Source organism: Homo sapiens, chromosome X (assembly GCF_000001405.40).
Source record: "Homo sapiens chromosome X, GRCh38.p14 Primary Assembly".
Lineage (NCBI taxonomy): Eukaryota > Metazoa > Chordata > Mammalia > Primates > Hominidae > Homo > Homo sapiens.
Window position 1 is genome coordinate 142,363,535 of NC_000023.11, and position 25,535 is coordinate 142,389,069.

The 25,535-nt window shown below is 36.4% G+C and overlaps 1 pseudogene; it reads left to right on the plus strand.

Moving 5' to 3' along the window:
• Positions 8,744–9,667, plus strand: LOC100419795 (zinc finger MYM-type containing 1 pseudogene; annotated as a pseudogene).

The window sequence follows — 25,535 nt, forward strand, 5'->3', positions numbered from 1 at the left end:
CTTGCCAGTAAACAACCAGGCAACAGGAAACAGGGTTAGAAATATAGGCGGTTAGACTTCTATTGCTAAGGCAAAATCAAATTACTTTTCGGAGGATAGGAATCAGACTGCAAGAGCAACAAGAGAAACATAAGAAAATAAAGAGCCAAACTGCCATATGGAGCAGGAAAAAAGCCAAGATGAGAAACACAGGCCTCACGGTGATACCTGCCTCCCCCTTGCCCCGATGCTGGGCTGCAGTTGAAGCTCATGAATGCCCGGTTTGCATGCTTCACCATAGGTCTTAATAAATATCTTGCTTCTCAAGGTAAACAAAGAGGCTTTTTTTTAAAAATTAATGATTGGTAGAAAGAACATTCACATGCTTTAATAAGCATTAATTAGGAAAGACATAAAATTTGTGCTTGAGTTTATTAAACTCACTAAGGAAAATTAAAATAACATGTTTTCAAGGTTTTTATAATATCTTGAAAATGACATATTTTCAAGATTTTAATAATAATATGTTGTATAGGGTTCATTTGTACTGCAAGAAGTAAAGTGTTGCCATCTCAAAATTTATAGAAATCCTTTCAACTTTTATTCCATTTTTCTTAATTACTAGATGTTTACAACAGTATTTTTCACTCCTTTACTTTTCATTTGGAATTTTTCCAGATAATCCTCTTGAGAAGCAAAGCTTGATACAGTTACATGTAAAAGGCAATTATATTCTATAGAGAGTAGAGATGAGTGAGCAAAGAGGTAATACACAATAATCCAGGTACCATTATTTATTATTGTCGATTTGGATCCTTTCTGACAATGATGACATATTCTGACTTAATCCACATTCACTAAGCAGCAAAGCAGAAGAAATCACAATTGAACTCTGGTCCAAGATTTCATTAAATAATAGACCAGAGAAAAGCAGAGGTTTACTTAGAAGTATTTTTTTCAATCACTATTCATAGCACATCATCCCAAGTTAACAAGTGGATCTGATGTGAAATCTCTATTTTTCAGGACAAAAGAAAACTATCAGATATTAGACATTGCACAAAATAATGTGAAAATTGGTCTAATAATGAAACGTTAATTAAGTTGCATATATGCTCATTTACATAAATAATGTGCAGTATTGCAAAAAAGATCATATCATCCTATGAACACGCTCGCTATATACAAAAAGCTCTGTGATGTAGCTTTTAAATATAATTCTTGGACAAGGCTCTAAAGCACTACATTTTTTGTCAAGTGCTTTGTTTGAATCATATCTTCCCTATCTAGATTAGCTTTTCAGTCCGTTTAAGCCTCAGGGTTCACATCTATAAAACAGAAATTGAAATAAATTTCTTGCTTTCCATCTTTGTTCAAGTAAAAGAATGCACGGAAAAGATATTTGTAAGTGGCATGGTGCTGTAAAAATGTATTATTACCTTCAGTAATTATTTTATTCATTCATTTTTATGACTCCCATGTTCCATATAAATTTTAAAAAATTGTATGAATGAAAACAAAAATGTAATAACCATAACTTTTCCATCAATGTTTTGCATGCTCAAATTTGTGATTATAATATAACAAACACATAACAACTTATGCATCTAAGTCAAAGTTGGCCCCTTGAATTAGTTACCATTGAGTTTATATTTAAATTGACATTTATTGGCACCTACTAATTATAAGACATTTGCTAGGTATTTTACAAATGTTATTTCAACTAATCCTTACACAGTTATACATGGGTATCATTAACCGCATTTTTCATGGAAGAAATTGGAAGATATAAGGGGCATCAGTCAAGGTCATAGCAGAGTTTTCTGTTATAGCTGTCATCAGTTCTTAAATTGGAGAGAATTATTTGCATGGGCAAAACCTAAGGAAGGGGTAGGAAGGTCTACTCTGTGATGTGTGTGCCAAGACCCAAGAAAGTAAAGAGTATTCTGGATTTGGGAGATAAAAAAGAAAATGGACTGCAAAAATAAGAGGCTACATTTTGAGTCAAATTTAGAAAACAAATTAGATAATAAAGATTCAGTGAGATACCAAAATTAATGGCCTTAAAAGGCAGAAGAATTTGAGCTTAGTTCAGTGGACATAGTAAATGATGGAGTAAGGTAATAACTTGATGAGACCAGTAATTTAGGAAGATAGGCCTGAGAGTGATTTCCAGAAATTTGCACAAATTTGAAAATCTAGACACAGGAACTGAGAATTAATATAATGCCTCAAATTTGCACACAAAATTTGTTTCTTTAAAAAACATCTTAATGTGCAATGTTTCAGACAGAGATACTGATTCTACTATATTTGAGAAGCATATCATTACTCTATGTGAACATTGGTATGTTTGATAAATTTAACCTGTCAGATGCCAACCAGATTTGGGGCTATATTTTTTCATGATCAATTTTGTATTTGCCATTTTGGAACTAACTTTACATTACATTTACCAAATAAATTGGGACAAGGGAAAATACGTGTTAAATAAGTGAAGGAAATATGTATGACCTTGTTTGCTTCTTTGTGTCTGTGGTGTGTGCGTATGTGTAGAGGTCATTTCTAATCCAAGGTTTACCATTTCTTTCTTAAAATATAAGAAGTTCAATTGGGGCACCAGTGTAATGGTAAACTAAGCATTAACATTTATAATTTAGCATATGGTGTTTTGCAATTTGAAAATATCAATAAAATGCTAATTTAAAGACGGCCTCCTGTTTGGACTGATTTTTATTTTGGACAGTCCTACTTTTGCCTTTCATGTTTACATCACCAACTCATATTTCAAATGTGTGATAGTTACTGTTAGTAATTTGCATTATATTGAATGACATGTTTATCTGCATATTATTTATAAAAAAGTGGAATATCAAACTGAAAATATCCATTTTAAAGGAGATATTTTGACTGAAATTCTCATGGTGAAGAACTGGGTCACCTGCCTCCTCATCCAATGTTCTATAGAAAGTATTGAATATATGCATACAGGCATGCTTACATCAGATTGCTAGACAAGAATGGATCTTATACCTTGAAACCCAGAAGCAGATGGCTCTGAGTGGGTTAAGAGGAAAGGCATTTTAATTGAAATCAAAATGACTATCTATCTAAGTAGGAAGAAAATGCTGAAGAAAATATATCAATGATCATTATTTACTTCTGTATGTAGGGGGGCATGTGATGCTGGGTAAAGGGTGAAGGAAAGGGAAGAGATAAGCAAAAACATTTTAAAAAGTGTTCTTGACACAGACAGCATGTATATGATCTCAGGTATGTTAATTTGTTGATGTTTTGTGTGTTGCGTGTGTGTGTGTGTTGGTACGTATGCATGTGCATGTGAGCAGGAGTGAAGAGATATATAAGATGCTGGTCCCTCAAATGTTAATATCTGGTTATCTTGCAGTGGAGGGATTCTAGCTGTTTTAATCTTTTTATAATCTATATATTATAACTTTTTACAATGAGCATGCATTAATACAATAATGACAAGATAAATATCTGTATGGAAAGATGACAAGGAAGTAGATAAGAGCAGAGTAATGGGAAAATTTGAGCATAAATACATGCGTGTGCACACACATGTACACGTGCACACACACCCACACACACACCCCAAAACTAGAGAACTGGCCAGGCTGGTGGCTCATACCTGTAATCCCAGCACTTTGGGAGGCCAAGGCAGGTTGATCACTTGAGTCCAGGAGTTCAAGACCAGCCTGACCAACGTGGTGAAACCCCGTCTTCACTTAAAATACAAAAATTAGCTGGGCATAGTGGTGTGGCCCTGTAGTCCCAGCTACTTGGGAGGCTGAGGCACAGGAATCACTTGAACCCAGGAGTCGGAGGGTGCAGTGAGCCGAGATCTCGCTACTGCACTCCAGGTTCGGTGACAGAGCAGAGATTCCATCTCAAAAAATAAATAAATAAATAAAAGCACACACGCAAAAACTAGGGAAATTTGGAATAGAAAACAATAACCAACAGGTATGAATCATGAAGAAACTATCAGAGTAATTAATTAACAACATATGGAAAAACTGGGTCAATCTGGCCTGGTATTTTTATTTGTTTGTTCTGATTGATAGTGGCATTTGCATTCAGGAAATAGTTCTAAAAGATGAAAAATTGGTATCTTATTGAAAATGGTTTTGAGCGTAAGTTCTGACACTAGGGAGAAACAGAGAGCAGCCTTCTCTAATGCCAGTCCTTTCAAGTAGGGGGTTGAGGGAAGAGAAAAATTAAATCTAATTCTAGGCTTATCAACTATCTCAGTTTGCCCAGAATGTTCAGTGATAAAATTGGGAAAGTACCAGGCAAATCAAGATGAGTTGATCATCTTAGCTGATTCTTTTTTGTTTGGTTGGTTTTTATTTTCTGCTTTTTAATGAACTCTATTTTTTAGAGCAGTTTTAGGTTCAAGCAAAATTGAGCAGAAGACAAAGGAGAGTTCCCATATACCTCCTCCCCCTAGAGATGCACAGCCTCCCCATTTATCAACATTCCCCACCAGACTAGTACATTGGTTACGACTGATGAACCTGCATTGACACATTGTAGTCACCCAAAGTTCATCGTTTACAAGTCTGCAGCTTAAAAGTTTAGTTTTCTGAAGACAGGATAATATCTTAGGAAGCTTTCAAAGTAAGCAGTTGGACAGGAGAAATATGAAAGTTTCTAGGTAATCATGATCATCAGAAGAAATGGAAAGCTCTTACATTTGAGGGAATAATATACCCAAACACTCATGGCCCATCACTAGTTCTGCCTCTCTCCCACAATTATCAAAGACAGACCTTGATATTCTAGATTATTTTAATATGAGAGCTTGTGGGGTAGGGGGAGAGATGAGAATTTTTTTTTTTTGTAATTTGTGAAAGGGAGTTTTTGGTAGAGATTCACTACAGACATTGATATAATAAGTTTAAATATGAAGATTAAAAAAATAAAAGCAACCAATATACCAGACATAAGATGTAAACTTTAAGAACAGACCAGTGAGATATTAATTGAATATAGAAACAAAATGAATTTAACCAAAAAATAGGACAGAAGAGAGAAAAAAACAAAACAAGAAAGCATGTTTTTAATAGAAACATATGAGACATATCTAGATCAAAATGATAAAAAAATGTTTGAAGGAAACATGTGAAGGAAAAACAGAAAAATAACTAGACACATGCTAACAAGAAGAATACAGGCTCAGCAATATTATAAACAGATAAAGTGAAATTAAAGGTGAAAAGCATTAAATGGAACAAAGAGGAATGTTTGATATTCTAAAATTCTACAGTTCATTAAAAATATTACTCTAATGAAACTTTATTCATCCAGCAACAGAAACTAAAATATTTATAACAAAATTTGTTACAAATACAATGAAAAATATGTAACTATATAATCATAATGGGATATTTTAAGTGTCACACTAGAAATTAATAAATCGCATGGGCAAAAACTGAAGAATTACAAAACTTTTCCCATAATACATTTGACCCTATTTGTGGTCAAATTTTTTTGGCCACATTCGTGGCCAAAATTGTGGATAAATTTTTTCAAATTTATCTGCTTGCTAAAATTAATTTGTAACCCCAAGATTGACACTTGCAATGCTTTTGCAGTTATTCACAGACATGGAAAGACCTGTGAAAAATTTGGATTGCCCGATGTGCACATTTTCAGCTGAGGTCAAAACAAATCCTTGTTTTCAGTTTCATACTGTAAATAAGTGGCCTTTGTAACTTACACGTAGTGCAAAAAATGCTTTTTTTTTTTTTCTATTCTTGTGTCTTTTGTTGGTTATTTCATTTTTAAAATGCTCTCCCAAACATAGTGCTAAAGTGCTGTCTAGTATTTCTAGGCACAAAAAAGCAGTGATGTGCCTTATTAAGAAAATGCCTGGCCGGGCGCAGTGGCTCACGCTTGTAATCCCAGCACTCTGGGAGGCCGAGGCGGGTGGATCACGAGGTCAGGAGATCGAGACCATCCTGGCTAACACTGTGAAACCCTGTCTCTACTAAAAATACCAAAAATTAGCCGGGCGTGGTGGCGGGTGCCTGTAGTCCCCTGTAGTCCCAAATACTGGGAGGCTGAGGCAGGAGAATGGCGTGAACCTGGGAGGAGGAGCTTGCAGTGAGCAGAGATTGTGCCACTGCACTCCAGCCTGGGCGACAGAGCGAGACACTCCGTCTCAAAAAAAAAAAAAAAAAAAAAAAAAAAAAAAAAGCCGATGTTAGATAAGCTTCCTTCTACCATGCAGTATAGTGCTATTGCCTATTAGTTTAATATTAATAAATCAACACTATATATTAAATTAGGTATCTTTAAACAGAAACCCACATAAAGCAAAGTTATCTTATGTTTGATCAGCCGATGAAATTATTGTGACCAAAGGCCTTAAAGGTACTGTTAAAAGAAAATTTTTAGAGGAGTTAAATTTAGCAGAAGAATCTAGAGAGGTTCAGAGAATTCCACCCAGCAATGTGAGCAGGCAGTTTTTATAGAGAGGAAGAGGAAGTGAGGTACATAAACAACTTGATTGGTTACAGCTTGGTGTTTGTCTTATTTGGGCATGGTGCGATAAGGCATTTGCATTATATCAACATGATCTGATCAGTTGGTAGTGTGATTGTCTGAGACTCAGCCATGTGTCATAAGAATGTACTCTTAAATCGCAGTTTGTTGACACGCTAAGTTAGGTTGCAGTTTGCTACTTAGAAACTCAAAGTACAGAGGCAGCCTCAGGCCAAATGCACTTTAATTTTAAACAGTATGTAACTTTTGTATTTCCCCTAGGAGCAATGGTTCACTACCATTAATTCAGTGTTTGCAATGACATTTAGAATATAACTACCATGACTAGAAGAACGGACTGTATATGCGTATGTGGAAATTTGTACCGTATAATGAAACACTACATACTATTTTCAGAGACCAACGGAATACCACCAAAAAATTTCAGATAGTAAGTCATGAAACAAATTCAATGTATTTAAACAGTCAGAAGTCATGTGTTCAATCTCTTGCTAAAATGCAACAAAATTAGAAGTTGCTAATTAAGGGGCAATTCTTCAAATTATACACTGCTTTTTTTTTTCAATTTTCTGATGACATTAACCACCCACTAGAGCAACTAAAATTATAATGACTGACAGCACAAAATGTCAAGGATTTGGATTAACTGAAACTCTCACATATTTCTGAAAGGAGTATAAAATGGTACAATCACACTGGAAAATGTTTTAGCAAATTCTTGTAATTTCTAAAATAATCATCATAATTAACTGGGAAATGGAGAGGAGTGAAGGTAGGTAGTATATTGTTTGCTTTATTTTGGATGTGTTTAAAATTTGTTGTAAAAAATGTAAAAAGTACTCTTCTCAGTATTGTTTTGCTTAAAGAAAACATCAAAACTGAAAGTACAGACTATTTGGAAATGAACAACTGTCTCATCAAAACCTAGAAGTCATTCTGTTCTCCACTCCATGTCTCATTCCCCATATCCAACTGGCCAACAAGCTTTGTCAATTCAGTTTTCTGAATAATTCTCAAGTTGATCCTCTCTTTTTTATTCAAACTATTACTTACCTCATCTTAGACTTCTTTGCTCATCTGTGTTATGACAATAACTTTCTAACCTAATTCTTTGTCTTCAGTTTGGCTTTCTAGTCCAGAGTGATCTTTCTAATATACGGATCTGACCATGTTACTTTACAGTTTACATACATTCAAATGCTGCTCTTTTTCTACAAAGTAAACACCAAGCTCCTTATCCTTTATAATTATCCATATTTCAGTGATAACAAATAGCAATCTGCATAGTAAAAATGGCATTTCTTTCAGCAGTTAAATGGAGCAGATGAATGTCTAATGATGATTGCAGGATTTTTCATATACCAAAAAATTCCCTAAATCCTGAAAAAATGCTTTTAATTTTTAATTTTAAAATCTAATTTTAAAATGCATTTAATATAGTACAAGACACTAAATATCTTACAGGAAACCAACTTGTTAACCCTTTCTTCTACACTTGGAAAAAGTCTGTTGATATTTTTTCATTACATTTAAAATGTAATACTCGTCAGTGAAAAAGACTCAGTTTTATAACCTTCACTACTAGAATAGTAAATAATATACCGAATATCATTGCCACAACTGCTACTGCAGTATATTTTATATTACTCTTGCCTCTTGTGTCATTTACTTCAGATTCAAAGTTTCATGCTTCAACATCCTTTTGGCTAAGCTTAGATCATATGTTGTACCAGGAATAAGAGATGATATCTGACCGCAGCTTCTCACACTGTGACTGATTTTCTAAATATAGAAGTTTCAAATGATGGAAAAGCAAAATAAAATAAAAACCAATTTCAGTTCGTGTCTTACCTCTTCTGATAATCACTGGAACCAGAGTAGATATATATTGTGATTATCTGCATGTTTAGATGAAGAAACTGAGGTGTAAAAAGATTAAGTAATTGCCCTAGATTATGCAATTATTACATGGCAGGCCTTTTATTTGAACCTCAGCAATCTTACTCTGGAGAGCAGCCATGGTATATATTTACAGCAAAATAGTAGCAATGTCCATATGTATAGTGCTTTGAATATTTTCTTGATGTTCAGGTAGACTATGCTTATTTACTGAAATCAGTAATTGCTCTTAAGAATGTGTATTTAATCTGTGTGTAAAGTATTTGGCATTTCTAGAAATCAAAGTGAAAGTTAAAATGAGTTAAAAAAAAAATCCCTTGAGATCTCAGAAGTTGATTCCTGGAGAAATGTACAAATTCAAAATTCAATCACTGGAATAATAAAGGCTGCAATGCTGTAGGATATTTTTAATGAAATCAATGTTTTATTTGCTTATAATAATATATGAGGAGAAACATGATACTGCAGTAAAAGAACAGTTGTCAATTCAGATGAGATAACCACAAATAATTTCAAAAGCTATCTTAATTAAAGAGATTGTGTTAAGTTTCATCTGTATTGAAGAGACAACTGGGACATATTTAAACAAGGTTATAAAAATCAAGCCCTAGAAAATCAGAATTAATTTAAATAAAATGTATGGTCATGTGCTGATGGCATAGTTAATGTGAGTAGAAGATGTAACTGATTTGTAGTGAAGTTTAAAGAAGAAACACTGAGAGCGTTGTAAACACATTGCAAGCATATTCTGTTTGGATTTAACTGTGATGAGATCCTTGTAGGGAAAGAACTAGACCTAAAACTCTCTCAATACTGTCAGTTATTTGTACGACACTGCATATGTATCTTCGAAAACATTAGTGATATTCCAAATATGTCTAAGCAGGGTAAGGTTATAAAAGTAGGATGCTGTGTAATTTGTTGAAAATCTGCTGAAGGTTTTATCATTGTGTATGATTTTCTGTGATGAAGTAGCTTCCTGAGATCACTGAAATTTTGGAACTTGAATCAAGGACTACATTCAATGTTCGGGGGGCCTGTCAATTAAGTGGCTTCCTGGTTTTCTGACATTGTTTCTCAAATTCGAAAATTTATTTTTACAAAATCACATATGTCACAGGGATTCTGTATACAGAGCCTCATAGTAAAATTGTTGATGCTTTCTTGGCATCTAAAAGTTGAAGCCACACTTCACTTTTTATCATCTCAAAAACATGCTAAATATTTCAAAACTAGTTGTGATAGTGGGAAGGAATTATGCAGATTAATATTCTCTAAATTGGCACTCTCTAATAGAATTTTGCAATGATAGTAATGTTCTATATATGCACTGTTCAAGACAGTAGCCACTAGGCACACATGGCTACTTGAGTACTTGAAATGTGGGTAGTGTGACTAAGGGACTGAACTTCTAATGCTATTTAATTTGAAGTAATTTAAATACAAATTTAAATAGTCACCTGTGGTTAATGTATATGTATTGATCGATGTGGATCTAAGACTTTAAAATAGAAAACTTTGTTTGCAGAACACAAGAAAACTTTTCCTTTAATCAAAAATAGTTTATAGCAATTAAGATACGCATTTTATCTTTTCTAGACAAAGAACAATTTTCAATTAATATTAATATGGGAGACTCGATACAACATTACTAAATTGAAATGTGCACCTTTAATAGAAAATATTTTAGACAGGTAGAGCTTCTAAATATCCCCACCTCTCTCTCCACTAATCTCATACAAGGCTTGGCATAGAGTAGGTACTTTATAAATATTTATTCAAAGGATGAATGATAAAAAGAAAATAAAATGAATATCAGAAATACTACTTCAATGGAAAGAACCATTAAATCAGTAATTAAAAATCTACTATGATAGTACAGACTTAGATGCAAATGTTATTTCAGAACTTTGATTTCACTGAAACTATCCAAAGTTCAACCCTGTCCATGAATGTTTCAACTAAATCAATTTTGGCTCATTGTTGATTTTTCATTAATGCTCTGCCCATCTCAGAGCTACTGCATATTGCTTCGCCAAGGGCACAATGCTGATTTTTATTCAATAAATATGTGTTGGACATGTACTAACTTTCACACACTCTGTTGGAGAGGCGGTGCACTGAGTAAGGCTGTGAGCTCTGGAGCCTGATCACCCGCATTGGAATCCTGGCTTTCCACATGTTGTGCAATGTTGGGCAAATTACTTATTCTTGCTATGCCTCAGTTTCTGTATCTGTACACAATTGGGGTAATTATAGGATGTATAATTGGGTTATTTTAAAGGTTAAGTGACTTAATATATGTAACAAATTTAGAATGGTACCCAGTATATATTTGGCAATCAGTGGATAATGGGTATTATGTGTTGAGGATTCAGAAATTAACAAAACAAAGTCTGTGACCTTATACGGCTTAATTGCACTCTCAGTACATGAGGTGATATGGTTTGGATATTTGTCCCCTCCGTATCTCATGTTGAAATGTAATCCCCAGTGTTGGAGGTAGGACTTGGTGGGAGGCATTTGCCTCTTAGAGGCAGATGGTTCCTGAATGGATTAACACCATCTCCTTGGTGATGAGTGAGTTGACATGAAATCTGTTTTTCAAAAAACATATGGTAGCTCCCCCGCTCCCTCTCTTGCTCCTGCTCTCCCCATGTGATGCTCCTGCTCCCCCTTCACCTTCTGCCATGATTGCAAGGTTCCTGAGGCCTTTACCAGAAGCAGATGTTGGCATCACACTTCCTGTACAGCCTGCAGAACCGTGAGCCAAAATAAAATCTTTTTTCCTTATACATTATCCAGTCTCAGGTATTCTTGTTTAGCAATACAAAAGTGGCCTAATACAGAGGGAAACTGGTCTCAACATTTATATTTGTGTCCAGTTGGCCTTTTTTTATTTTTTCACATTTCAAAAGCATTTTGCATATAATTTAGAGAAGTAAGCAAAGGATTGAGAAAAATGACTTGATTACAAAATTTAATAAGAATGTAAACACAGTAAACCTATTTTACCCAGTGAATTTTGACACACAAACATTAGGAAACATAAAAGAATACTCTCTTATACCATACTCTTGGCAAAATTGATGGGCCAGGTTCTTACATAAAAATATTGTATAGTGAAGTTTTTTCTGTTGAAGAACTAACTGTAAAAAAAAAAAACATTTCCTTTATGTCCTTAGAAATATATTCTTTATTCATGAATTATTGATTTTGAGAAAATTCACCTTGGTTAATGTCATATGAAAATTCATATAATCTGAGATTTCACTTCTTAAAGGATCAATTTTATCATCATCTTTAGAGCCTAGAGCACTGATATCTTTTATGCATTCATCTTATTTGTCTAATATTTGTGAAACATTATCCTCTTTCAATTTTCTTCTCTTTGTCACTATATGTGAAAAAAATTGAATTATCAGTTGTGATCAATGAATGTGTTACCATTATCAAAATTCTAGGAGTTCCATCTAGGTCTTGCTGCTCACTGCACAGAAGGCCAGTAATGGAGAGAACGAGTACTGCCAGGAAGAAGGCTTTAACTGAGTCCTGCAGCTGAGGAAACCAAGAGATAAAGTCTCAAATCCATTTCCTTGACTGACTAAAACTGAGGGGTTTACATAGCGAGGAAGAAAGGAAAACAGGAATTAGGGAGAGGTAAGGAAGTAATCATGATGGATGTGGGGTCTGGCATCACATTGTCTGGGTGCAGTGATCTGATGAGTTTCAGTTCCTTGCCTCAGGACCAGTTTCTTGAGGAAGAAACTCAGATAAGATGAATATAAGTTTCAAGTTTTTTTTTTTTTGAGACAGAGTCTCACTCTGTCACCAGGCTGGAGTGCAGTGGCACAATCTCGGCTCACTGCAACCTCCACCTCCTGGGTTCAGGCAATTCTCCTGCCTCAGCCTCCCAAGTAGCTGGGACTACAGGTGCATGCCACCATGCCCAGCTAATTTTTGCATTTTTAGTAGAGATGAGGTTTCACCATGTTGGCCAGGATGGTCTCAATCTCTTGATCTCGTGATCCACCCACCTGGGCCTCCCAAAGTGCTCGGATTACAGGCGTGAGCCACCGCACCCGGCCAGTTTCAAGTTTTAAGACCACAGAGGGTCAATTTCTATGTTTATTTAAAAACTGTAAATATTAGTTCTATGGGAAAATTGAGCTGGTTTCAAATGCTAAAAACAGACTACGAATATATTGTATCTGGTCTTCTTTTATACCTTATTAAAAGATGATTCAATATGTTGGACAGTGCATTAATAAAACTGAAAGTTGTCTATTTCTCTATTGCATCACTTTTGTAATCCATTATTATTCTATTTGCATATTATTTTAGTCTTTTTAAACATAGTTTGGAATTTTTGATAAGTTATCATAAGTAATGTTGAAATAATTTCTGGGATGATAAAATAGAAAAAGCTTTCAAGTTATTGAGAAAATAACTTTACCTAAGATTCCACAATGTTGTCTTAGATTTATTTATTTATTTACCTATTTTCCAGTGGTGCAAACACGGCTGAATGCAGCCTTGACCTTCTGAATTCAGGTGGTCCTCCTGTCTCAGCCTCCCGTGTAGCTGAGACCACAGGTGTATGCCACCACACCTGATTACTTTTTTTTTTTTTCTTGTAGAGATAGGGTTTCACTTTTTTGCCCAGGCTGGTCTCAACTTCTGGAATAAACCAATCCTCCCACCTTGGCCTCCTGAAGTTCTGGGATTATGGGTATGAGCCACCATACCCAACTGTGGTAGATTTATTAAAGGGTCCAGTGAATGCACAAATAATTGCAAGATACAATGAGTTCTATTTTTTTAAAGTTTCTTTTTATTCCTTGGAAGACCTCTAAGAACTAGTAAAAGTCATAAAATATCAATCTTTACAAATATCTAGATTTACTCAAAAAAAGAAATTCAATAGTTAAACTCAGGTCCAATGAATCATAATAGTATACAAAAAGGTAAGATCCAGAGGAGACAGATGTTACATAATTATGTAAATTAGATAATAAAAACAGTGATAAATGCACTAAAGGAAATTTGCAATTACACTAATAAAGGAAAATGGGTTTCTTAATTTAAATTGATGGATCAGAAAAATATCCCTGAAGAAGTGAGACTGAAGTTGTGATCTGAAGGATGAGTAGGAATTAACCAAGATAAACATAGAGGTAGGAGAATAGCAGTATGTGCAGAGGCTCTGGGGCAAGACAGAACTTGACACACTTGAGAAAATGAAATAAAGACTGTGACTACGAGCAGAGAAAAAGTGTTGCTAGTGGCGTGAGATGAAACCGGAGAAACAAACCTCAGTCATCTCAAAAAAGGCCTTATAGGACGCATTAATAGTATTGAATTTTACCCTGAGTTCTGCAAGATGCCAATGACGGGTACTAAGCATGGATCTGATATAATCATACTTATTTTTAAAATTTACTAAAATAGTATATGTTCATTTTTTAAAAATAGTGCAGAAATATAGAAAAAAACTGTAATGAGATACCATCTCACACCAGTTAGAATGGCAATCATTAAAAAGTCAGGAAACAACAGGTGCTGGAGAGGATGTGGAGAAATAGGAACACTTTTACACTGTTGGTGGGACTCTAAACTAGTTCAACCATTGTGGAAGTCAGTGTGGCGATTCCTCAGGGATCTAGAACTAGAAATACCATTTGACCCAGCCATCCCATTACTGGGTATATACCCAAAGGACTATAAATCATGCTGCTATAAAGACACATGCACACGTATGTTTATTGCGGCACTATTCACAATAGCAAAGACTTGGAAGCAACCCAAATGTCCAACAATGATAGACTGGATTAAGAAAATGTGGCACATATACACCATGGAATACTATGCAGCCATAAAAAATGATGAGTTCATGTCCTTTGTAGGGACATGGATGAAATTGGAAATCATCATTCTCAGTAAACTATCGCAAGAACAAAAAACCAAACACCACATGTTCTCACTCATAGGTGGGAACTGAACAATGAGAACACATGGACACAGGAAGGGTAACATCACACTCTGGGGACTGTTGTGGGGTGGGGGGAGGGGGGAGGGATAGCTTTAGGAGATAGACCTAATGCTAAATGACGAGTTAATGGGTGCAGCACACCAGCATGGCACATGTATACATATGTAACTAACCTGCACATTGTGCACATGTACCCTAAAACTTAAAGTATCATAATAATACAATAAAAAAAAAAGAAAAAAACTGTAAGAGTTCTCTTGAACCCATGCTCCAATACCAAAATTTCTGGTTTGCATTTTTCCAGGCTCTTTTATTGATATGCAAATACAATTACAGATGAACATAGTTGTTATACTAGTCATGAATATGTTAGTCATAATCTTCTGAAATTTTCATTCAAGATTACATCTTGGACATGTTTTCATACTACTGTCTATATTGACCCATCTTATTCTGCCAATGGTTGCCTACCATTTTATTGTTAAGAATATACCAGGGATTGCTAAACATGTTCTAAAAAGAGCCAGAAAGTAAATATTTTAGGTTTTGCAGTCCAAAAGATCACATATTCTGCTATTGTAGTGTGAAAGCAGCCATATACAGTGGATAAATGAATGAATGTGGCTTTGTTCACAGGCTGTATATAACGGAGGGAGTGTAGGATTTGGCCCATGGATTGCAGTTTGCTGACTCATGGAATATACTACAATTTTAAAAATAATTATGAAAGTATCATTCATTTTTTTAAACCCAGTCTTCTCAAAATAAAATACCCACACGTATTTAAAAAATTTAAACTACCCCGAAGGGTCTAAAATTAAGGATTTTTTTGTCTCCCACTTTATTCGCTAGTCCCACTTATGTAATGTAAGCATTTTTGCCAGATTGTTTTTTTCTTGCTTTTATTAACACTTTGAATAATATTCTTATATTGCTATTTCTTGATTTAGAGACATGTTGACTGCACAATGAACAAGAGGTTAAAAAAACATGTTGACTACCTAATGCTGAAAAATGAAACTTTTTACTACATTGTTACTTCCTACCTTTCCTTCTCTCCTCCTCTTGATTTTGTTATATTATTTCATTTCTAATGAGGTTTGTATCATGTACAATTGATTCAGTAAAGATGAGGAAGTCTTCTCTGCTTCCTTTCTAGGTTAATTCTTTTAAAACTGAAATAACAAAACAGTATTGCTAAGGTTTGAATGTGTCCCCCAAAATTTATGTGTTGGAAACTTAATCCCCAATGCAACAGTGTTGACAGGTGGTACCTTTCAGAGGTGATTAGGTCATGAGGGCTTTGTCCTCATAAATTGATGAATGTGGTAACTGCAGGAATAGGTTTGTTATAAAAGTTATTTCATGGCCGGGCAGGGTGGCTCAGACCTGTAATCCCAGCACTTTGGGAGGCTGAGGTGACCGGATCACCTGAGGTCAGGAGTTCGAGACCAGCCTGCCCAACATGGTGAAACCCCGTCTCTACTAAAAATACAAAAATTAGCTGGGCATGGTGGGGGGCGCCTGTAATCCCAGCTAGTTGAGAGGCTGAGGCAGGAGAATCGCTGGAACCCAGGAGGCGGAGTTTGCAGTAAGCCAAGATAGCAACATTGCACTCCAGCCTGGGTGACAGAGTAAGACTCCATCTCAAAAACAGAAACAAACAAACAAGTTATTTCAGCCCTCTCTTGCTTTCTCTCCCACATGTGTGCTCTTTTGCCCTTATGCCCTTCTGCCATGGAACAATGTAGCAAGAAGGCCCTAGCCACATGTAGTCCCATGATCTTGAACTTTCCAGCCTCTAGAAATGTAACAAAAAAATCTTTTTGTTGTTTATAAATTACACAATCTCAGACATTCTGTATGCCAGCAGAAAATGGACTAGGACAGAAAATTGATACCGAAGAGTGTGGGGTTGCTATAACAAATATCCAAGAATGTTGAAGTGGCTTTAGAACTGGGTAAGCTGGAAGAATTTGAAGGAAAGGGCTAGAAAAAACCTAGATTGCTGTGAATGAAACATTAAAGGCAATGCTGGTGAAGGCTCAGAAGAAGATAAGCTACTTACCTTGCTGTGATAATAATGTTGGTAGAAATATGAACAGTAAAGGCCATTCTAGGCTGGGTGCAGTGGCTCACTCTTGTAATCCCAGCACTTTGGGAGGCCGAGGTGGGGAGATCACCTAAGGTCAGGAGTTCGAGACCAGCCTGGCCAACATGGTGAAACCCTGTGTCTACTAAAAATACAAAATTAGCTGGGCTTGGTGGTGTGCACCTGTAATCCCAGCTATTTGGGAGGCTGAGGCAGGAGAATTGCTTGAACCCGGGAGGCAGAGATTGCAGTGAACTGAGATCGCACCCCTGCTCTCCAGCATGGGCAGCAGAAGGAGGCTGTCAAAAAAGAGAGAGAGAGAGAGAGGGAGAGGGAGAGGGAGGGGGAGAGAGAGAGAGAGAGAGAGAGAGAGAGAGAGAGAGAGACAGAGAGACAGAGAGAGACAGAGAGAGAGAGAGGAGAAGAGAAAAGAAAAGAAAAGAAAAGAAAAAATGAAAAGAAAAGAGAAAAGAAAAGGAAAGAAAAGAAAAGAAAGAGTATTGGAAACCAAAGTAAAGGCAATCCACGTTATATAGCCGCAAAGAACTTGGTAGAATTTTGTCTGATGTTCTAGGATTTTGTGGAAGGCAGAACTTAAGAGCAATGAACTAGTGTATCTGGAAGGTAAAGTATCTAAGCAGCAAAATGTTCAAGGTGCTTCACAGCTTATTTTGGCAGATTCCAGTAAAATTACAGTAAAAAAGAGAGAACAAAGAAATGAATTTAAGACAGAATTTATAATTAAAAGGGAAGTAGAATGGAAAGATTTGGAAAACTCTCAGCCTGGATATGTAAAGAAGAAAAAAGAATATTCAGGAGAGAATACTACATGCAACCGTTTTCTAAAGAGACTAATATGGGTGAGGGAAGCCAGCATCCAGCCATCAGGACAGTGGGAGAGTGATCCGAAAATCACTTCAGAGATCTTCAAGACAATCTAGGACTTTGAGGGCAAAGTTTCCAGAGAAGTCCCTGGGAGACCTCAGAATTCACTGTTCTGTGCTACCTTGGGTCTCTGCTTCCATAATTCTGGTGCAGTGCCCCTTGGCTGCCTTAGCCATGGCTCAAGCAGGCCCAGGTGTAGCTCAACCAACTTCTCCAGAAAATACAAGCTATGAACCTTCGTGACATCTACATGGTACGAATTCTGCAGGCACGCAGAATGTAAAAGCTGTGAGGGCATGGCTTTCTCCCAGATTTCAAAGAATATTTTGTGCAGCCTTGGAGACGGCTGAGACATGTCACGGGGGTGGAGTCACTGCAGAGAGCCACTGCTAGAGCAACGCCCAGTAGTGCCAGAGAAGTGAAGCCACCACAGTGAGTCCCCAACAGAATAATGCATAGTGGAGCCATGTGAGTGGGGCAGCCCGCATGATCCCAGAAGTGTGGTGCCACCAATATGTAACTCCAGCCTGGGGAAGCTGCAGGCACAAGATACCAGACTGTGAAAGCTGCTAGGTGGACTGAGCCCAGCAAAGCCACAAGGGTGGAGCTGCCTGAGGTCTTGGGGGCCCAACAACTACCTTAGCGTAGATACAGAATGTGAAGTGAAAGGAGATTATTCTTCAGTTTAACACTTACTATTGATTTCCCTATTTGGCTTTGCACTTATTTGGGACCAGTGGCTCCTTTTTCATATTATTTTCCTTTTGAAATGGGAATGTCTATCCTATGCCTGTCTCCCTATTGTATTTTGGAAAAACATGACTTAATTTCACTGATTCACAACTAGGGATGAATTTGCCTTAGGATGAATTGCATTTTGAATCTCATTCATCTGATTCAGTTAAGATCCTGGACTTTGAACTTTTAAATTGGTACTGAAATGAGTTTATACTTTGGGGTGTTGGGAGGGAATGAATGTATTTTGCATGTGAGAAGACCACACATTTTGAGAACCAGGGGTGGAATGCCATGGTTTTAATGTGTCCCACAAAATTCATGTCCGGGAAAGTTAGTCTTCATTGCAACAGTGCTGTCAGACTTTTGGGAGGTAATTAGATCATGAGGGCTTTGTGGTTATTGCGGGAGTGGATTCATTATCATTAGTGTGAGTTTGTTATAAAAGCAAGTACAGCCCTTTTTAGTTCTGTCTCTGCGGTGTGATCTTTTGTCTTTCTGTCTTTCCACCATGGAATAACACAACAAGAAGGTCCTTTTCAGATGCTGGCACTTTGATATTAGACCTCCCAGGCCCTAGAACTGTGAGAAATGCTGTTATTCTCTTTACAAATGCTTTTATTCTCTTTACAAATTACAAATCTGTGGTATCCTGCTATAGCCACACAAAACAGATTAAGACAACTATTAACATTAGTGTAATTATGTAAATATATTTACCTCAAAATCAAGTACTGACAGAACCCATAGAAAAAGATTCTTTTGTTGCTGAGCCCCAGATTCTAGGAGACTACCTCAAGAATCCAAATTCAAGGCATTCTCTTTTCATTTCTCTGTAATTACGTTTGCCTTTTCCAGGTCAAACTCAGTTGCTTATATTTTGAGTCAGTTTTCCTTTATGTCTTTTAAATTAGTTTGGATAAACTCTTCAAGTAATACACATGCTGATACACACATGTAGTATATAAATGAAACATTTTGAGTCAGTGCATGTCTAAAGTGCTTTTATTTTTGCTCAAAGCCTTAATTAAATTTTTCGCCCTCAATTTTTTTTTTTTTTTTTGAGACGGAGTCTCGCTCTGTTGCCCAGGCTGGAGTGCAGTGGCGCTATCTTGGCTCACTGCAAGCGCCGCCTCCCGGGTTCACGCCATTCTCCTGCCTCAGCCTCCCGAGTAGCTGGGATTACAGGCGCCCGCCACCACGCCCGGCTAATAGTTTGTATTTTTAGTAGAGACGGGGGTTTCACCGTTTTAGCCAGGATGGTCTTGATTTCCCGACCTCGATGATCCGCCCACCTTGGCCTCCCAAAGTGCTGGGATTACAGGTGTGAGCCACTGCGCCCGGCCTTTTGCCCTCAATTTTGAATTCAAAGTTGAAAATCATTTGCCTTCTGAATTTCAGACACTGTTCCATCATTATCAAGTATTCAGTGCGATAGCTGAGAAATCTGAGACCATTCTAATCTTCATTATATTGTAAGTAACCAACAAGTACTTTTTTTTTTCTTTAACTCTGGGTTCTTTTTTATCCTTAGAAATGTGAAAGTTTTCAAAATGTTTTTTACATGTTGCTCCTATTGTTTAAATTATTATTATTATTTTGTATCCAGATAAATACATGATAGGGTTTCTTCTGAAGACTTGTGTCTTTATTCTGTGTCTTTATTTCAAAATTATTTTGAAATACATAGAAACATCCATAAAAGATAAATACATAGTTTAATTAATTGCTATAAAAGCAAACACTCATTTAACCACGACTCAGTTTAAGAAATACAATTTTGCTACCCTCCAGAAGCGCTTAATATCTTTCTTCCCAAACACAACTCCTCCCCCATTCCACTAAAGATAATCAGTATCCTGTTTTCTATCACAGTTTCTTGTTTCCTTTAAAAAAATTTTCCCCACCGAAGTATGTGTAAAAACTATAGATTCAATTTTCCTGTTTTTGAGCTTTAAATAGGTTAAGTTATACAGTATGTATTTAGTGTCTGAATTCTGTTGCTTGTATTTGTAAAATTCATCCCTTTTATTCCTGTATAGTCTTCTATTAAATATCAGTTTACTAATTGATAATATTGTTGATGGGAACTGAGGTATTTCTAGTTTGGGACTGCTATAAAAATGTTGTTATAAATATTTTTCTGTCTTTTGATAAACATCTGTTCACATGTCTGTTGAGTTTAAGTAGATTATAAAGCACATACATTAAACTTCACTATGCAAGGCCAAAATGTTTTTCAGAGTTTGCACTGACATGAGAAATACATGAGGGTTTCTATTGTTCTACATCTTAACCAGCAGTTTGCATTGTCTTTTTTTATGTATAAATTTTAGACATTCTGGTGGATATATGGCATACTGTGAGAGAAACAGCTATGCTGGGCTTGGTAAGACTAGTCTACAGATAGTATCCTATAGGAGAGTGAGTAAAAAGCTCCGCTTACTGAGATGAAGAGAGAAAAAAATATATATAGTCTCCAGCGAAGAGGCCTCAGATTTTAGTTAAAGCAAAGAATGCTTTTTCACAAAACTTTTCTTTTTTTCTTTTAGTTAACACTTGTGAAGAACAATACCACTGCCACACCTAAATAATCTGGTCATGCTAACGCTCTTTGCCCTCAAACAGCTTAGAATGTATAGTAGGAAAGATTAGTTCAGACATACATAAAGGGAGTTACAAGAAATAATATATAGTTTGTAAAAATGGATTAAAATGTTTTACAAGATTGCAAAGCAGAAAAAAGTAACTTTTCGATGGGTATATAAGGAATAGTATCTTGGAAGAAGGATATTTGAACAGGAATTTGGAAGAAGGAAGTATTGATAATCAAGAGTATTTATGAAATTATACTTTTTTCCATACTATGGAATGCTTCAAATGAATTATTCACTGCAGCACCCGTATGAGCAGTACTACTGCGTTCCCATTTAAGAGATGGAAAAAAAAAAAGAGAGACTCAAATAAGTTAAGTGACTTTCCCAAAGGCACACAGTTGAGGAATGACAGACCCAGTATCTTAACCCAGGTGTATCCACCTCCAGCACCTATACTCTGAAAGGAAAAATATAATTAGTAACTTATTGAAGACTGATCATGTGCAGTAATTTGTATGAATTACGGCTGGTTTAACAACAACTCTAAAAGAAGTATTGTATTGATATCTCCATTTTAGAACTGAGGAATTTGAGACTTAGTTGTTTTAATTAATTTGCTTTTTTACTATACTATACTTTCATCCAGGTAAGCAAAAAAAAAAAAAAAAAAAACAGAGTAAATCAGGTAAAGACCACAGCACATTCAACACATCCACTGGGATTTTGTCTTTGCGTATAAGTTGGATGATTGGCAGATGTAGAATATAAGACAGAAGGCATAGGTTGTCGCTATGCTGATGTGAGCTTGACTGCCAAATTGAGATGTTTTAACAACATTCTGTAGGCAGTTGGGCACCATTGACTTTTGAGAATAGATATAATAATAATTATATCTTACAAAGGCAAACTTGGTGATAGTGTGTATCATCATTTGGGGTGTCAAGATTGCAGTTTGGAAAACTTGAAAAGGGAGCTACTGCATAAACTCTAGAGAAGAAATAAAGGGAAGAGAGTGAAAAGGAAAATGGAGGACAGGAGTTACACAGTGGGTTGGTTGCAGAACTGGGAGCAGAATTCATGCCTTCAACTCTTAGTCTGATTCATAATCTATGTATCTTTTATTGAATAAACTTTTTCTTGAATCAGATTTTCAGTGAAAATTATTGAAAAAGATGTGGCTATATCAAGTGACTGGTACCTCTGGAGAATTGCTTTTTCTGCAAAATATGTCTGCTGTGGTCCATTTCCCTTATCATATGAAACGCTAATGGTAGAAGAAAAGCAAATCATTCATTTAAAATAATCCTGAAAAATGTATGCATGTAAGCTCTTTTTTTTTTCTCTTTTTTTTTTATTATTATACCTTAAGTTTTAGGGTACATGTGCACAATGTGCAGGTTAGTTACATATGTATACATGTGCCATGCTGGTGCGCTGCACCCACTAACTCGTCATCTAGCATTAGGTATATCTCCCAATGCTATCCCTCCCCCCTCCCCCCCACCCCACAACAGTCCCCAGAGTGTGATGTTCCCCTTCCTGTGTCCATGTGTTCTCATTGTTCAATTCCCACCTATGAGTGAGACTATGCGGTGTTTGGTTTTTTGTTCTTGCGATAGTTTACTGAGAATGATGATTTCCAATTTCATCCATGTCCCTACAAAGGACATGAACTCATCATTTTTTATGGCTGCATAGTATTCCATGGTGTATATGTGCCACATTTTCTTAATCCAGTCTATCATTGTTGGACATTTGGGTTGCTTCCAAGTCTTTGCTATTGTGAATAGTGCCGCAATAAACATACGTGTGCATGTGTCTTTATAGCAGCATGATTTATAGTCCTTTGGGTATATACCCAGTAATGGGATGGCTGGGTCAAATGGTATTTCTAGTTCTAGATCCCTGAGGAATCGCCACACTGACTTCCAAAATGGTTGAACTAGTTTAGAGTCCCACCAACAGTGTAAAAGTGTTCCTATTTCTCCACATCCTCTCCAGCACCTGTTGTTTCCTGACTTTTTAATGATTGCCATTCTAACTGGTGTGAGACAATATCTCACTGTGGTTTTGATTTGCATTTCTCTGATGGCCAGTGATGGTGAGCATTTTTTCATGTGTTTTTTGGCTGCATAAATGTCTTCTTTTGAGAAGTGTCTGTTCATGTCCTTTGCCCACTTTTTGATGGGGTTGTTTTTTTCTTGTAAATTTGTTGGAGTTCATTGTAGATTCTGGATATTAGCCCTTTGTCAGATGAGTAGGTTGCGAAAATTTTCTCCCATTTTGTGGGTTGCCTGTTCACTCTGATGGTAGTTTCTTTTGCTGTGCAGAAGCTCTTTAGTTTAATTAGATCCCATTTGTCAATTTTGTCTTTTGTTGCCATTGCTTTTGGTGTTTTAGACATGAAGTCCTTGCCCATGCCTGTGTCCTGAATGGTAATGCCTAGGTTTTCTTCTAGGGTTTTTATGGTTTTAGGTCTAACGTTTAAATCTTTAATCCATCTTGAATTGATTTTTGTATAAGGTGTAAGGAAGGGATCCAGTTTCAGCTTTCTACATATGGCTAGCCAGTTTTCTCAGCACCATTTATTAAATACGGAATCCTTTCCCCATTGCTTGTTTTTCTCAGGTTTGTCAAAGATCAGATAGTTGTAGATATGCGGCATTATTTCTGAGGGCTCTGTTCTGTTCCATTGATCTATATCTCTGTTTTGGTACCAGTACCATGCTGTTTTGGTTACTGTAGCCTTGTAGTATAGTTTGAAGTCAGGTAGCGTGATGCCTCCAGCTTTGTTCTTTTGGCTTAGGACTGACTTGGCGATGCGGGCTCTTTTTTGGTTCCATACGAACTTTAAAGTAGTTTTTTCCAATTCTGTGAAGAAAGTCATTGGTAGCTTGATGGGGATGGCATTGAATCTATAAATTACCTCGGGCAGTATGGCCATTTTCACGATATTGATTCTTCCTACCCATGAGCATGGAATGTTCTTCCATTTGTTTGTGTCCTCTTTTATTTCCTTGAGCAGTAGTTTGTAGTTCTCCTTGAAGAGGTCCTTCACATCCCTTGTAAGTTGGATTCCTAGGTATTTTATTCTCTTTGAAGCAATTGTGAATGGGAGTTCACTCATGATTTGGCTCTCTGTTTGTCTGTTGTTGGTGTATAAGAATGCTTGTGATTTTTGCACATTGATTTTGTATCCTGAGACTTTGCTGAAGTTGCTTATCAGCTTAAGGAGATTTTGGGCTGAGACAATGGGGTTTTCTAGATATACAATCATGTCGTCTGCAAACAGGGACAATTTGACTTCCTCTTTTCCTAATTGAATACCCTTTATTTCCTTCTCCTGCCCCATTGCCCTGGCCAGAAATTCCAACACTATGTTGAATAGGAGTGGTGAGAGAGGCCATCCCCCTCTTGTGCCAGTTTTCAAAGGGAATGCTTCCAGTTTTTGCCCATTCAGTATGGTATTGGCTGTGGGTTTGTCATAGATAGCTCTTATTATTTTGAAATACGTCCCATCAATACCTAATTTATTGAGAGTTTTTAGCATGAAACGTTGTTGAATTTTGTCAAAGGCCTTTTCTGCATCTATTGAGATAATCATGTGGTTTTTGTCTTTGGTTGTGTTTATATGCTGGATTACGTTTATTGATTTGCGTTTATTGAACCAGCCTTGCATCCCAGGGATGAAGCCCACTTGATCATGTTGGATAAGCTTTTTGATGTGCTGCTGGATTCGGTTTGCCAGTATTTTATTGAGGATTTTTGCATCAATGTTCATCAAGGATATTGGTCTAAAATTCATTCTCTTTTTTTGTTGTGTCTCTGCCTGGCTTTGGTATCAGAATGATGCTGGCCTCATAAAATGAGTTAGGGAGGATTCCCTCTTTTTCTATTGATTGGAATAGTTTCAGAAGGAATGGTACCAGTTCCTCCTTGTACCTCTGGTAGAATTCGGCTGTGAATCCATCTGGTCCTGGACTCTTTTTGGTTGGTAAGCTATTGTTTATTGCCACAATTTCAGATCCTGTTTTTGGTCTATTCAGAGATTCAACTTCTTCCTGGTTTAGTCTTGGGAGGGTGTATGTGTCGAGGAATGTATCCATTTCTTCTAGATTTTCTAGTTTATTTGCGTAGAGGTGTTTGTAGTATTCTCTGATGGTAGTTTGTATGTCTGTGGGATCGGTGGTGATATCCCCTTCATCATTTTTTATTGCGTCTATTTGATTCTTCTCTCTTTTTTTTCTTTATTAGTCTTGCTAGCGGTCTATCAATTTTGTTGATCCTTTCAAAAAACCAGCTCCTGGATTCATTAATTTTTTGAAGGGTTTTTTGTGTCTCTATTTCCTTCAGTTCTGCTCTGATTTTAGTTATTTCTTGCCTTCTGCTAGCTTTTGAATGTGTTTGCTCTTGCTTTTCTAGTTCTTTCAATTGTGATGTTAGGGTGTCAATTTTGGATCTTTCCTGCTTTCTCTTGTGGACATTTAGTGCTATAAATTTCCCTCTAACACTGCTTTAAATGTGTCCCAGAGATTCTGGTATGTTGTGTCTTTGTTCTTGTTGGTTTCAAAGAACATCTTTATTTCTGCCTTCATTTCGTTATGTACCCAGTAGTCATTCAGGAGCAGGTTGTTCAGTTTCCATGTAGTTGAGCGGTTTTGAGTGAGATTCTTAATCCTGAGTTCTAGTTTGATTGCACTGTGGTCTGAGAGATAGTTTGTTATAATTTCTGTTCTTTTACATTTGCTGAGGAGAGCTTTACTTCCAACTATGTGGTCAATTTTGGAATAGGTGTCGTGTGGTGCTGAAAAAAATGTATATT